The sequence below is a fragment of the Homo sapiens genome, chromosome 3 (genome assembly GCF_000001405.40).
Source record: "Homo sapiens chromosome 3, GRCh38.p14 Primary Assembly".
NCBI classification, from domain to species: Eukaryota; Metazoa; Chordata; class Mammalia; order Primates; family Hominidae; genus Homo; species Homo sapiens.
Genome location: NC_000003.12, coordinates 148,339,989 through 148,356,498, shown reverse-complemented (window position 1 = coordinate 148,356,498; position 16,510 = coordinate 148,339,989). Strand labels below are relative to the sequence as shown.

The window sequence follows — 16,510 nt, the reverse complement described above, 5'->3', positions numbered from 1 at the left end:
AATAAAAACACTAAAAATAATGACTCAGAGAGTATACTAGTTGACTTAGAGGGGTTTGCCCTAAATATTATTATCAATTTTTTATAATTATTTTGTTTTGTTTGGAGACAGGATCCCTCTGTCACCCAGGTTGGAGTACAGTGGTGTGATCATGGCTCACTGCAGCCTCGGTCTTCTGGACTCAAGTGATACCCCCACTTTAGCCTCCTTAATAGCTAGGACTACATGCGCGTGCCACCATGCCTGTCTAATTTTTATTTTTCACAGAAACAGTCGTGCTATGTTGCTCAGGCTGGTCTCAAACTTCTGGCCTCAAGCCATCCTCTCACCTCATCTTCCCAAAGTGCTGAGATTACAGGCATCAACCACCATGCCCAGTCATGTCCTAGGTATTATTGATTAAAAAATGTAGAATGAAGAAAAGTAGGCATGATATGATCCAATATTTATAAAAGAACATAATTTCTTACAGATATTATAACTAATGTTGGATATGAATATTCATAGATATATGTTTCATATAATGATACGAATATGAAAAACTATAAACGGATATGTAGTAGATTATTTACATAGACATTGTTCCCTGAGGGGAAGGTGAGAAGGAAAACACAGAGGAATATAAAAAAAAATGTTGTAGCTCAAAAACCAACAACAAATGTCCAAGTGTTGTAGAGTGAACGTGGAGGAGGTTTCTAGGTGAAGATGAGTGTCTGGTAGTGGCTGATGAGAAGGGGGATTCCATTTATATAATTATGTAAAATTATGTACACATGCATATTTATAGAGTTTTTTAAATGTAATGAAATATAGTGAATTTGGTCATTCTGTAAAATGTCTCAGTGGTGTCTTCATTAAATCACCAGTGGTTTCATTAACTGGTCACTCTAGCTCATTAGTCCATCCTTCTCCTGAGTAGGAATAAAAGAAAGCTAAGAGATCAGCCTAATCATTTTGATCTTTTTAATGCAAAAAAGAAGAGGCACCTTGAATTATAACCTCCTAGAGACAGCATTATACAGTAGAAATAATCTGGGCATTGGAAGCACACTTACTAAGACTCAAAACCTAATCTAGTCACTAAATAATTGTATGACCTTGGACAAGTTGCTTAATATTTGTTGCCTTCAGCTTGTTCATCTATGAAATTGGGAGACGGAAGCCTATGGGGGAGGACTGTGCTATCTACTGAATTATATGTTGTGTGTGAAGGTGCCTAGCATAGTGTTTGGCCCAGTGCGGGACTCAGAAGGTTACACCCACAATCAATCCACATAATCTAGACACTTGGGTAGGTTGGTAGTGAGAAAAAATCATGTAGTGCTGAATTTAGTGGATATATTTGATGTGGAAGACATTTGAAAATGATTATGCACAATTAGTCGCTTTCATTCCCTTTAACACCAAGGTGCAATAAATAATCTTGGAATTGTCTGCACAGGAGTTAAGTTTGCACAGTGGGATCTCTTCTCACCTTGGCTGAGTTGCCCAGGCTGTTCTGAGTTGTTTTTATATATTGTACAGACAGAACATGCTTTCAGATACACCAAGTTGTCCTCTACAAAGAAAGAATGTATGAAGTCCTGTGGTTTTCATTACATGAAAAGTGGATGTAATTTTTTTTAGATCATTCAGCTAAGATTATAGGTGCTTTTCCCTAATAGAATTTTCTTCTTATGTATTGGCCTCATTTTTAAGAAAATAGGTTTACTTGTACACTAAATCCATCCAGAAAAACTAGAGGCCTGGCTATGTAGGAGCCAGATAAATAAGATAGCACTGAATTTAGTAGATATTTTTGATGCAGAAAGCTCTAAGGGACATGATTAAGCACAATTCATTTTTGAAAGAAAACTTTCAATTAATCTGTAAGCTATAAAAGCTAACATTTGGGGACATTTTAAAATATTATTACAAAGTTTAAATTTTCTGAACACTGAGAGAAATTTAGTGGCATCTTTATGTATGTGTCCTATTTGATTTTAATTTATTCTATTTTACAATTTTGCTATAATTCATTATTCAGACACCTTTATAATGCTCAGTTTTCCCACTTCCAGAATGGGATCCACTTGTGGAATTTTAATAGTGACTTCTAGGGTCATTTAGTCTACTGTAAATCATCAGTTAATCCAGTATCTTTCCTTTCTCTGCTTCCAATTATGATTTTCCTCTGCTGTCATAGCTCCCAATCTGAAAAAGCTTCTGCTTTATATTTTTGTAATAACCTTACACTGTTTCAAAAATTTTTAAGCAACTCTTATGGAGCAACACTTACTGAACCAAATAACTTGATAAGGCAACATCTAAAACAAATTCTTTCTAACAAAACTAACCCTGGCAATTCATAAAATCAATCTTTATTTCCTCTTTTCATTTCACCACTTTTGGTAAAACAAATCTATCTATTCTGAATGGCCCCATATGAATAGACAGGCTGATTAGCTCAGATTGCTACCTTAGAGCAAGACTGACTTGCTTGCTGTAGACAAAAGAACCTTATTTATTCCTGTACCATATATGCTTGTTTCTTTCCGGATGTCAAACTCCTGCAAGGTGTTTGGTTCTTCTAAATGGCTGTCCGGTTTGCTTTCAGAAAGTTGTTCTAAAATTCAGCTTTCAGAATAGGCTTCATGCATCATTCTATCTTTTTTAAATCTACATGAATTTCTTTATAGGATTTTTTCAAATTAGAAAATATATACTTCTGTGTTGTAACTGGTGAAATAACATAAAACAACAATGTGATTAAAATTCCAATTATCACATCCTTTTCACCCCCATTTTCATAAGATTACCAAGTTTACTCTTCTGCGCTCACACAAATGAATACAAGGCATATAAGTAAAAAAAAAATGGAGTTTTGGGTTGGTTGATTGGTTATTTTATTTTCATATAGTAGAATAATATACACATTTCCTTTCAGCTTGCTTTTGCTTTTCTTCACTTCATACATCATGGATAACCCTGTATACCAGGAGATATTCATATATGTTTTTCTTACTTTGATACATGCATATAAACAAAATTTTATAGAAATAGAAACAAATAATACAAGCTGGTTTGACATTATTTGGAATAACATTTTTATTCTTTTTTTATTATTATACTTTAAGTTTTAGGGTACATATGCACAACGTGTAGCTTTGTTACATATGTATACATGTGCCATGTTGGTGTGCTGCACCCATTAACTCGTCATTTAGCATTAGGTATATCTCCTAATGCTATCCCTCCCCCCTCCCCCACCCCACAACAGGCCCTGGTATGTGATGTTCCCCTTCCTGTGTCCATGTGTTCTCATTGTTCAATTCCCACCTATGAGTGAGAACATGCGGTGTTTGGTTTTTTGTCCTTGCAATAGTTTGCTGAGAATGATGATTTCCAGCTTCATCCATGTCCTTACAAAGGACATGAACCCATCATTTTTTATGGCTGCATAGTATTCCATGGTGTATATGTGCCACATTTTCTTAATCCAGTCTATCATTGTTGGACATTTGGGTTGGTTCCAAGACTTTGCTATTGTGAATAGTGCCACAATAAACATACGTGTGCATGTGTCTTTATAGCAGCATGATTTATAATCCTTTGGGTATATACCCAGTAATGGGATGGCTGGGTCAAAAGGTATTTCTAGTTCTAGATCCCTGAGGAATCGCCACACTGACTTCCACAATGGTTGAACTAGTTTACAGTGCCACCAACAGTGTAAAAGTGTTCCTATTTCTCCACATCCTCTCCAGCACCTGTTGTTTCCTGACTTTTTAATGGTCTCCATTCTAACTGGTGTGAGATGGTATCTCATTGTGGTTTTGATTTGCATTTCTCTGATGGCCAGTGATGATGAGCGTTTTTTCATGTTTTTTGGCTGCATAAATGTCTTCTTTTGAGAAGTGTCTGTTCATATCCTTCGCCCACTTTTTGATGGGGTCGTTTTTATCTTGTAAATTTGAGTTCATTGTAGATTCTGGATATTAGCCCTTTGTCAGATGAGTAGGTTGCGAAAATTTTCTCCCATTTTGCAGGTTGCCTGTTGACTCTGATGGTAGTTTCTTTTGCTGTGCAGAAGCTCTTTAGTTTAATTAGATCCCATTTGTCAATTTTGGCTTTTGTTGCCATTGCTTTTGGTGCTTTAGACATGAAGTCCTTGCCCATGCCTATGTCCTGAATGGTATTGCCTAGGTTTTCTTCTAGGGTTTTTATGGTTTTAGGTCTAACATGTAAGTCTTTAATCCATCTTGAATTAATTCTTATATAAGGTGTAAGGAAGGGATCCAGTTTCAGCTTTCTACATATGGCTAGCCAGTTTTCCCAGCACCATTTATTAAATAGGGAATCCTTTCCCCATTGCTTGTTTTTGTCAGGTTTGTCAAAGATCAGATAGTTGTAGATATGCGGCATTATTTCTGAGGGCTCTGTTCTGTTCCACTGGTCTATATCTCTGTTTTGGTACCAGTACCATGCTGTTTTGGTTACTGTAGCCTTGTAGTATAGTTTGAAGTCAGGTAGCTTGATGCCTCCAGCTTTGTTCTTTTGGCTTAGGATTGACTTGGCTATGTGGGCTCTTTTTTGATTCCATATGAACTTTAAAGTAGTTTTTTCCAATTCTGTGAAGAAAGTCATTGGTAGCTTGATGGGGATGGCATTGAATCTATAAATTACCCTGGGCAGTATGGCCATTTTCGCGATACTGATTCTTCCTACTCATGAGCATGGAATGTTCTTCCATTTGTTTGTATCCTCTTTTATTTCATTGAGCAGTGGTTTGTAGTTCTCCTTGAAGAGGTCCTTCACATCCCTTGTAAGCTGGATTCCTAAGTATTTTATTCTCTTTGAAGCAACTGTGAATGGGAGTTCATTCATGATTTGGCTCTCTGTTTGTCTGTTACTGGTGTATATGAATGCTTGTGATTTTTGTACATTGATTTTGTATCCTGAGACATTGCTGAAGTTGCTTATCAGCTTAAGGAGATTTTGGGCTGAGACGATGGGGTTTTCTAAATATACAATCATGTCATCTACAAACAGGGACAATTTGACTTCCTCTTTTCCTAATCGAATGCCCTTTATTTCCCTCTCCTGCCTGATTGCCCTGGCCAGAACTTCCAACACTATATTGAATAGGAGTGGTGAGAGAGGGCATCCCTGTCTTGTGCCAGTTTTCAAAGGGAATGCTTCCAGTTTTTGTCCATTCAATATGATATTGGCTGTGGGTTTGTCATAGATAGTTCTTATTATTTTGAGATACGTCCAATCAATACCTAATTTATTGAGAGTTTTTAGCATGAAGGGTTGTTGAACTTTGTCAAAGGCCTTTTCTGCATCTATTGAGATAATCATGTGGTTTTTGTCTTTGGTTCTGTTTATATGCTGGATTACGTTTATTGATTTTCGTATGTTGAACCAGCCTTGCATCCCAGGGATGAAGCCCACTTGATCATGGTGGATAAGCTTTTTGATGTGTTGCTGGATTCGGTTTGCCAGTATTTTATTGAGGATTTTTGCATCAATGTTCATCAAGGATATTGGTCTAAAATTCTCTTTTTTTGTTGTGTCTCTGCCAGGCTGTGGTATCAGGGTGATGCTGGCCTCATAAAATGAGTTAGGGAGGATTCCCTCTTTTTCTATTGATTGGAATAGTTTCAGAAGGAATAGTACCAGCTCCTCCTTGTAACTCTGGTAGAATTTGGCTGTGAATCCATCTGGTCCTGGACTTTTTTTGGTTGGTAAGCTATTAATTATTGCCTCAATTTCAGAGCCTGTTATTGATCTATTCAGAGATTCAACTTCTTCCTGGTTTAGTCTTGGGAGAGTGCATGTGTCGAGGAATTTATCCATTTCTTCTAGATTTTCTAGTTTATTTGTGTAGAGGTGTTTATAGTATTCTCTGATGGTAGTTTGTATTTCTGTGGGATCAGTGATGATATCCCCTTTGTCATTTTTTATTGCACGTCTATTTGATTCTTCTCTCTTTTCTTCTTTATTAGTCTTGCTAGTGGTCTATCAATTTTGTTGATCTTTTCAAAAAACCAGCTCCTGGATTCATTAATTTTTTGAAGGGTTTTTTGTGTCTCTATTTCCTTCAGTTCTGCTCTGATCTTAGTTATTTCTTGCCTTCTGCTAGCTTTTGAATGTGTTTGCTCTTGCTTCTCTAGTTCTTTTAATTGTGATGTTAGGGTGTCAATTTTGGATCTTTCCTGCTTTCTCTTGTGGGCATTTAGTGCTATAAATTTCCGTCTACACACTGCTTTGAATGTGTCCCAGAGATTCTGGTATGTTGCGTGTTTGTTCTCGTTGGTTTCAAAGAACATCTTTATTTCTGCCTTCATTTCGTCATGTACCCAGTAGTCATTCAGGAGCAGGTTGTTCAGTTTCCATGTAGTTGAGTGGTTTTGAGTGAGTTTCTTAATCCTGAGTTCTAGTTTGATTGCACTGTGGTCTGAGAGACAGTTTGTTATAATTATTGTTCTTTTACATTTGCTGAGGAGTGCTTTACTTGCAACTACATGGTCAATTTTGGAGTAAGTGCGATGTGGTGCTGAGAAGAATGTGTATTCTGTTGATTTGGGGTGGAGAGTTCTGTAAATGTCTATTAGGTCTGCTTGGTGCAGAGCTGAGTTCAATTCCTGGATATCCTTGTTAACTTTCTGTCTCGTTGATCTAATGTTGACAGTGGGGTGTTAAAGTATCCCATTATTATTGTGTGGGAGTCTAAGTCTCTTTGTAGGTCACTAAGGACTTGCTTTATGAATCTGGGTGCTCCTGTATTGGGTGCATATATATTTAGGATAGTTAGCTCTTCTTGTTGAATTGATCTCTTTACCATTATATAATGGCCTTCTTTGTCTCTTTTGATCTTTGTTGGTTTAAAGTCTGTTTTATCCGAGACTAGGATTGCAACCTCTGCCTTTTTTTGTTTTCCATTTGCTTGGTAGATCTTCCTCCATCCCTTTATTTTGAGCCTATGTGTGTCTCTGCATGTGAGATGGGTTTCCTGAATACAGCACACTGATGGGTCTTGACTCTTTATCCAATTTGCCGGTCTGTGCCATTTAATTGGAGCATTTAGCCCATTTACATTTAAGGTTAGTATTGTTATGTGTGAATTTGATCCTGTCATTATGATGTTAGCTGGTTATTTTGCTAGTTAGTTGATGCAGTTTCTTCCTAGTCTTGATGGTCTTTACATTTTGGCATGTTTTTGCAGTGGCTGGTACCAGTTGTTCCTTTCCATGTTTAGTGTTTCCTTCAGGAGCTCTTTTAGGGCAGGCCTGGTGGTGACAAAATCTCTCAGCATTTGCTTGTCTGTAAAGGATTTCACTTCTCCTTCACTTATGAAGCTTAGTTTGGCTGGATATGAAATTCTGGGTTGAAAATTCTTTTCTTTAAGAATCTTGAATATTGGCCCCCACTCTCTTCTGGCTTGTAGAGTTTCTGCCAAGAGATCAGCTGTTAGTCTGATGGGCTTCCCTTTGTGGGTAACCCGACCTTTCTCTCTGGTGCCCTTAACATTTTTTCCTTCATTTCAACTTTGGTGAATCTGACAATTATGTGTCTTGGAGTTGCTCTTCTCGAGGAGTATCTTTGTGGCATTCTCTGTATTTCCTGAATTTGAATGTTGGCCTGTCTTGCTAGATTGGGGAAGTTCTCCTGGATAATATCCTGCAGAGTGTTTTCCAACTTGGTTCCATTCTCCCCGTCACTTTCAGGTACATCAATTAGATGTAGATTTAGTCTTTTCACATAATCCCATATTTCTTGGAGGCTTTGTTTGTTTCTTTTTATTCTTTTTTCTCTAAACTTCTCTTCATGCTTCATTTAATTCATTTCATCTTCCATCGCTGATACCCTTTCTTCCAGTTGATCGCATCAGTTATTGAGGCTTGTGCATTTGTCACGTAGTTCTCGTGCCGTGGTTTTCAGCTCCATCAGGTCCTTTAAGGACTTCTCTGCATTGGTTATTCTAGTTATCCCTTTGTCTAATTTTTTTTCAGAGTTTTTAACTTCCTTGCCATTGGTTCGAACTTCCTCCTTTAGCTCGGAGTAGTTTGATCTTCTGAAGCCTTCCTCTCTCAACTCGTCAAAGTCATTCTCCATCCAGCTTTGTTCCGTTGCTGGTGAGGAGCTGCATTCCTTTGGAGGAGGAGAGGTGCTCTGAATTTTAGAGTTTCTGGTTTTTCTGCTCTGTTTTTTCCCCATCTTGGTGGTTTTATCTACCTTTGGTCTTTGATGATGGTGACATACAGATGGGTTTTTGCTGTGGATGTCCTTTCTGTTTGTTAGTTTTCCTTCTAACGGTCAGGACCCTCAGCTGCAGGTCTGTTGGAGTTTACTGGAGGTCCAATCCAGACCCTGTTTGCCTGGGTATCAGCAGCAGTGGCTGCAGAACAGCAGATACTGGTGAACTGCAAATGCTGCTGCCTGATTGTTCCTCTGGAAGTTTTGTCTCAGAGGAGTACCTGGCCGTGTGAGGTGTCAGTCCACCCCTAATGGGGGGTGCCTCCCAGTTAGGCGACTTGGGGGTCAGGGACCCACTTGAGGAGGCAGTCTGCCCATTCTCAGATCTCAAGCTGCATGCTGGGAGAACCACAACTCTCCTCAAAGCTGTCAGACAGGGACATTTAAGTCTGCAGAGGTTATTGCTGTCTTTTGTTTGTCTGTGCCCTGCCCCCAGAGGTGGAGCCTACAGAGGCAGGCAGGCCTCCTTGAGCTGTGGTGGGCTCCACCCAGTTGGAGCTTCCTGGCCGCTTTGTTTACCTGCTCAAGCCTGGGCAATGGCGGGCACCCCTCCCGCAGCCTCGCTGCCGCCTTGCAGTTTGATCTCAGACTGCTGTGCTAGCAATGAGCGAGGCTCCCTGGGCGTAGGACCCTCCGAGCCATGTGCGGGATATAATCTCCTGGTGTGCCATTTGTTAAGCCCGTTGGAAGAGCGCAGTATTAGGGTGGGAGTGACCTGATTTTCCAGGTGCCGTCTGTCACCCCTTTCTTTGACTAGGAAAGGAAATTCCCTGACCCCTTGTGCTTCCTGGGTGAGGCGATGCCTCGCCCTGCTTTGGCTCATGCACGGTGCGCTGCACCCACTGTCCTGCACCGTCTGGCACTCCCCAGTGAGATGAACCTGGTACCTCAGTTGGAAATGCAGAAATCACCCGTCTTCTGCGTCGCACATGCTGGGAGCTGCAGACTGGAACTGTTCCTATTTGGCCATCTTGGCTCCACCCCCCTCTTTTCTTCTTTTTTGTTTAGATTTATGTCTCCTAATATGGCAATTACCTAACACATCCTTCTCTCTTTATTGTATTTTCCAGCTTTATTGAGGTATAATTGAAAAATAAAAAATATATTTAAGGTGTGTAATGTGTTTTGATATAAATATGCATTGAGAAATTGTTAGCGCAATCAAGCTAATTAATAAATCTATCATTTCACAGAGTTATCTTTTTTGTGTGTGGTGAAAATACTTAAGATCTACTCTCTTAGCAAACTTTAAATATGCAATACATTATTATGAAATATAGCCACCAGGCTGTACTTCTTCTCCCTTAATCTTTAAACAATTCTTGCCTTTGTGTTTTTGATCTCCACCTTTGTGCAATGATAAGTACACCTAATATTTGAATAATTATACCAAAGATTTCTCACTGCTTTAAACAATGCCTCATTGTCTGAACTTCCAATTAATGTGAAATGCCAGATACTAATTAAATCACACAAGAAATGAAACTGTCTACTCCAAATTTTGCTATGACCAGCTTGCTATTCGCCACATAGCACAGGTGCTTGATTAAAATCTCAGAGGTGAAACCTGAATGAGCTAGTAAGATAACAAGAGGTCTGATAGCTTGAATCCCCATGTACTTTTCAAGCTGCTTGACATGGAGGCCATGGTCTATGATTTTTCCTCAAGGAATATCATGCTTGTGAATTATACATAGGGTCAGCTCAGATCAGTGAAAGGTTAACCTATGGGAATACCAATCCTAAGAAAATAGTTTACCTCACAAAATATTTATATTTCCTTTAGGTATTCTGAACATCTTTTTCTGAAGTTTTCTCTCATCTTCACATATGTTAAATGCAGGCACCTGTAATTGCAGCAGATGCTGTGATGTGCACCAACAGTTAGCCCTCTTCAGGAATTGTCTCAGCCAGGAGAGCCACTTTGACCATGGGCATCCCCCTCACAGGTTTAAAGGGCCAGCCTTCTCACCCTAAAGCAGGACCACTCTGAAAAGTCATCTGGTATTCAGAACTTCACACAGGATCAGCTGACACTTCCAATGAGACCACATTACACCTCAAATTCTCCAGCAGCCCAATCTTCCTTCGTTCTTATTCTTCCATCTGACAGTACTTACGTATGAAACTAAACCATCTTTTCCCCAAAGCGGCTTCCTTGAACTTTATTTTAAAAAGAAACATCTTTTATCTAGGCTTGAAATATCTTAATCACCTTCAAAATTTTATTTTCCTTTATGCCTGTCAATTAACAGATTTTTCACATTTATTCCTCCATAATATCTCTCACTGTGGCGCTTCCTTTCTTTTCCCCAGTTTGGATTTTTATTGTTACACTTAGGTAGTTGTAATAATAGGCTTCCCTATCTCCAGATGTGTCCCTTTCTTTTATTTTGCATTCTACAACCAAGTGTTTTTCCAGAACAAATTTTTAATTACATAATATGTACCTGACCAAAAGCATCAGACATTCTAAGTGATCATTAGTGCTCTCCATCAGTATTTCCAGTTCTCCTTCCTCTGGGTACATGGTATGGTTACTTTTCCCTACTTCTGTGAAATTAGATATAATAATGTAATTTGCTTTAGTCAATGAAATGTGAGTAGAATAGATATCACTTCTAGATAGTAGCCTTGAAAAGCCTTAGACCTTTGGTGTTACTATAACAATATAACATAGACTGGTTAGTTTATAAATAACAGAAATTATTTTCAAACAGTTCTGGAGGCTGGAAAGTCCAAGATCAAGGCACCAGCAAGTCTGATATCTGAGGAGGAACTTCTTGCTATATCTTTATGTGGTGGAAGGGTGAACCTTGTGTCCTCACATGGGGCAAGGCAGAATGGCAAAATAGGGGAATGGACTAGCCCCTGCAAGCCCTGATCCCTTCATGAAGATGGAGCTGCCGTGGCCTAATCACCTCCCAAAAGGCTTCACCTCTTAATGCTGTCATATTGAGGATTAAGTTTCAACATCAATTTAGGGAGAAACAAAAACATTCAAACCACAGCAGAGCCTGTGTATGCATATCTCTTCCCTGTCCCCCTTCCATGGTGACATTTTAGATGGTGGAAACGTTTTTGATGGTTCAGGCTGCATCCCTGATTGAGGACAACATGAAGCAGGCCCCTCACCAATCTGAGATGAACATGTAGCAAGAACCTGCCAAAAACTTTTTATTTTAAGGAACTAACATTTTTGTTTTAAATCTCTTCATAACTTAGTCTATCCCCTGTGATACAGGTTGTTAATTAGCAATTGGGATAAAATTGAATCTTTTGAAGTTTCTGTTCAAAATCCTCTTTCTGGTTCTAAAACTTCCAAGCCTATCTTCCACTCTTTACTTAAATAGACCTCTTTGTTGTTTCTCTCTATAACTTATAACAGAGTTACTTTTGAGCATGTTTTTCTACTGCTTGGAATTTCCAACCCATTTTCATTTCCCAATTAAACTATTTACTGCCTTCAAGTCAAGCTTAATCCTGCTTTTACATGAAGCCTTATCTGAGTACCCTAAGGGCCAGAGATTTTGAAATCGTGACCTTTTAAATTGTGGGATATCATGTGAACTTTCCATGTTACTACTAAATGCCTGTCTCTAAGTGGAGGATAGAACATGATACCCCCTGCCCTGCCCATGCCCCTCAGAAAACAGTATTACTATATTCTGAAATATGATTTCAAAACTATCTGAATTCTTATTTTACTATTCACCAGGAAATGATGTGTACATTCTTCTATCTTAAAGTAACACACATGGCCATCACCTAAATTCTTTGTATCAGTAACACTAGCTAAAAGATAAATAAAAGAATGACACTAGCTCAATGATATATAATTATTGTGATATACGTTATACATTTTAATATTTACACAGTAAGCTCTTGTACTATACATTTAATATTATGGTGACTCAATAATATGCCAAAGAACCATTATTAATAATTTATATTAGATAGAAAATTATTTTCTGAATAATGTTTCTTACTTACATTTTCGTTAAAAGTTTTTTTCTAATCTTAGCCATCTCACATTTTTATACTTCCTCTTTGTTAGCAGTAGTAATGATTTTTACTTTCTATTTGTAAGCAAAATCTTAGGTAATCTTATGGTATTCGAAGTTAAAAAAATACTTAACGTATCCAATTTCAATCAATCTTAGTTGAAACTGAAGGAAAGCATCATAGACTTATTCTGCTGATAAAATACACAATTTGTAAAGCAATTTAAAAATCAGTATATAGGTAACATCTGTATATATTAAATAATATTCTTTGAATTAGTTTATATATATATATGCATATGTATGTGTATATATGTACAGACAGAGGGTGCATGGTAACTTCTGTTTTCTGGTCCAAGTACTTTCCTGGATTGATATACTTGGAATAAATCCTTATGGTCATTAATTTTCACTGAAAGTAAGAATTTAGAGTTTTTATTTTCAGATATTAACATCTTTTTTTAAAACTTTCATTAAATTGCTAAAAATGGTTTATTTTAGAGCCTTGGCGTATCCACTCAACAAACATTTATTGAGCTCCTATTAAGTGCCAAGTACTATGCAAGTCACTAGGGATATAATGACAAATAAAAAATAGTCTTTAGCTTCAAACTACTCATATCCCATTGAGATCTTTAGTGGCTGAAGCAATTTTACCCTTTGCTCTAGTCATCATGTGATTTCTGGAGTATTTTCCAGACTTAGAAAATTTTTTCTAAATTCTGTTTATGAAGAAGCTGAACTGTTTACTTTTGTCCACTGTGGACAACTGTGACATAATAGAAATAGTACTGAATTTGGGATAAATAGATTAAAATTTGCATTCTGGTTTAGCTCCCTAAGCTATCATCTTTTGTAAAACAATTAAACTCTATGAGTGTTTTTCACTCTGAAAAACATTGTAATATTTATTTCATAGGTTGTAGAGGATTGGAAATTAAAAGCTATTAAAATAGTACACATGTATTACTATGAAGTTTCTGGCAATCTCCATACTAAGTGACTTCTTATATTAGTCCATTCTCACATTGTTATATAAAAATACATGAAACTGGGTAGTCTATAAGTAAAGAGGTTTAATTGATTCATGATTCCACAGGCTGTATGGGAAGCATAGCAGCATCTGCTTTTGGGGAGGCCTCGGGAGCTTTTAATCATGGCAGAAGGCAAAGCCAGAGCAGGCATCTTCAAATAGCTGGAACAGTAGGAAGAAAGAGAAGGGGAAGGTGCTACACATGTAAACAACCAGATCCCATAAGAACTCTATCAGGAGAACAGCACCAAAAGGATGGTGCTCAACCATTCATGAAGGATTCACCCCCATGATCTAATCACCTCTCACCAGGCCTAAATTCCAATACAGGGGATTATAATTGAACTTGAGATTTGGGTGGGGACACAGATTCAAACCAGATCACTTCTTTTTCTCTTGAGTTCTGTGGAAGAATAATCACACTAGGCCAACTTCAATGCCAGAAATTTATAGCTGAAATTTATCACCTTTTTCATCATCATCATCATCATCATTATCCTCCTCATCATCTTTCTAGTAACAATTTTGTCATGCTTTCTATATACTATGCAATAAACTAGACTATATGTTTAGATCAGTGTTTCTCAACTTTAGCTTAACATTACAATAATATGCGTAGCTTTTGAAAAGTTGAAAGCCCAGGTTATATTCCAGATCAATTACATCCAGAATCTCTAGGGAAGGGACCCAGCCAACATTACTTGCTAAAGTTCCCAAGGTAATTCCAATTAGGTTGAGAACAACTGTTTTGATTAATTATCTAATTAAATCTTTATAAAATCCCTACAAATAGAGATGTTCATATCCATTTTGTGCATAGGAAACTTAGGCTCAGCTAAATCAAAAGCTTTATTCAATGTCACATACCTAGTCAGTGGCAAAGCTTGGATTTAAAACCAGGTCTCTCTGGTTTTAGGGTCCATAGTCTACTTCCTATGCTCTGTTAATATAATGTCAACTCTCTTTTGTCTGAACTCCACAGTGGAAGGTTAAGATGAGAGGATTCTGAGTTCAACTAAGTCTCACATTTTTAGGATTTTCTTTGCTTAATATGATATGTTTTATTGTACATAGGGATTAACATTGTAACTTAATTGAGGTGTCAGGAAAGTTTACGAATAAAAATGTTCCCATCCCAGATAAGAAAGCAAGGAGCCTCATTATCAGATATAAATAATGGGAATAATGATTCAATGTTGTAGGAAAAATGTAGGCAGAGGTGAAAAGGAATGAAAAATAAGTTTATTGCTTTTAGAAAGCAACTAAGAATGCTGAACTTTAAATTATATTTTTTCTGGAATATATGTTTTCATTTCTTTACATTCAAATTGTATATGTTTTTTTTTTTTTGGTCAGACTCTTGTAAATAAAAATAGCATAAAGTTAACTTTTGAAAAATTCTATGCGTCTCGGCCTTTTAAAAAAAAGTCTTAGACTTTTAAGGAAAGGCTAGGTTTAATCCAGTCACATTTATTGTTACTGATGTACTTGGACATATTTCTGCTATATTATCTTGTGTTTTTTTATTATTGTTCCCCATCTTTGTTTTTTTTCACCTTCTTTTAGATCTTTTTTTAATTATTATTTTCATTTTTTTCTCTACAGTTTTAGACATTGCACTAATTAGGGTCCTTATTTGCAAACAGCAGAAACAAACTCTAATAATCTGAGCAGAAAAGGCATTAATGAAAGAAACATTGATAAGCTCCCAAAATTGTTGAGAAGGATAGAGTGCTAAGATAGAAAAAGAGGCAGGACAAAATCTAAACCATGTCTCAGATGCATTCCCTTTAGCACACCATCACCACCATTTAGTTGAGCATTGATGCTACAGTTTATATCTTTATAGTCAACAGGTTTCAATTCTGAATGCTGCTACTTACATCACTGTCATTGCTGTCCTGGGAATTGGATCTTGTTCTTGCCATTTCTGCTTCTTTGTGGAGACTGTTACAGATTCAAAGACCTAAATGGGATGTGTTTGGCATGCCTAAGCCCAGTTCCTTTGCACCAGCTGCTGAGGGGCATAAAGCAGCAATCGGATCATTTTAGCTCCTATGGTAGAAGGAGAGCTCCACTTCTACAAAACACATATAGCTAAGAATCCCTCAGACATAGAAAAAGAGTTAAGTTACTGGATAGCCAACAGCAATAATAAAGAAGGTAAAGAAAAAAGAAACAAAAAGGGAAAAAAGAAAAGAAGAAAGAAAAATGAATAAAAGAAAGAAACAGAAAAAAGAAACACAGTAATCAGGTGTTCTATTAATATTTTCATTGGTTTTCCACAAAACATATAACTATAACCAATTTTATTATTAAATATTAAAATATAAGTAACATTATACTTTAAAAAATACAGTCAAAGTTAATCCATATCTGTATATTACTACTCAAGATAAAAAACATTTTTTATTTCCCTTCCCTCTTTTTCCCATCTTTTCTCTTGCCCACTGGGTTACTGTGTTTTTATTTTCTGAAGCTGTATTTGAAATTGCTGTAAGATATCTTATCATAATTATTTATTATTGTTCTCCTATGCTTTATACTTATTGAGATGTAATAGAGTAGGTTGGCTAAGGGCAAAGGCTATAGAGCTAAGCTGCCTTGGTTCATGTCTATTCTTCAACATCTACTAGCTGCGTGACTTTGAATAAGTTGCTTGACCTCTGCCCTTCAGTTTTCGCATTTGATAAATGAGAATAATAATACCTGCCTCTTAGGGTGGTAGAAAGATTAAATGAATCAAATCATTTAAAGTGGTTACACAATTGGATATGGTAAATTCTAAATAAAGATTTACTGTTATTTGTTTTATTTTATGTAATGATTTCCTTGACTAGCCTTCTTTTCTCACAGCCTACTTCTTGGGTTCATTTACTTGCTATCTTGGTTGATTATTTTCTTTTCAGTCTAGCTTAGGTTCTATCCCCATCCCCATGCCCATCCCTTCCAGTAATACCCAGTCTTGTGAAATATCTGAGTCTGTATGGCTGAAAAGTCTTTATTTCGTACTCATTCTTTTTTTTTTCTTTCTTTCTTTTGACAGAGTCTTTGTCACCGAGGCTGGACGCAGTGGCAGGATCTCAGCTGCAACCTCCACCTCCCAGACTCAAGGGAGCTTCCCAGCCTCCCAAATAGCTGGGACTACAGGTGTGCACCACCACACCTGGCTAATTCTTTGAATTTTTTTGGTAGAGACTGGGTTTTGCTATGTTGCCTAGGCTGGTCTTGA

The 16,510-nt window shown here is 37.2% G+C and overlaps 1 long non-coding RNA gene across 1 annotated transcript in view; it reads right to left on the bottom strand.

Annotated features, from left to right (window-relative positions):
• LINC02046 (long intergenic non-protein coding RNA 2046) overlaps positions 1-16,510 on the bottom strand; it is a 119,066-nt gene that overhangs the window by 43,458 nt on the left and 59,098 nt on the right. The gene's annotated exons all lie outside the window — the stretch shown is intronic.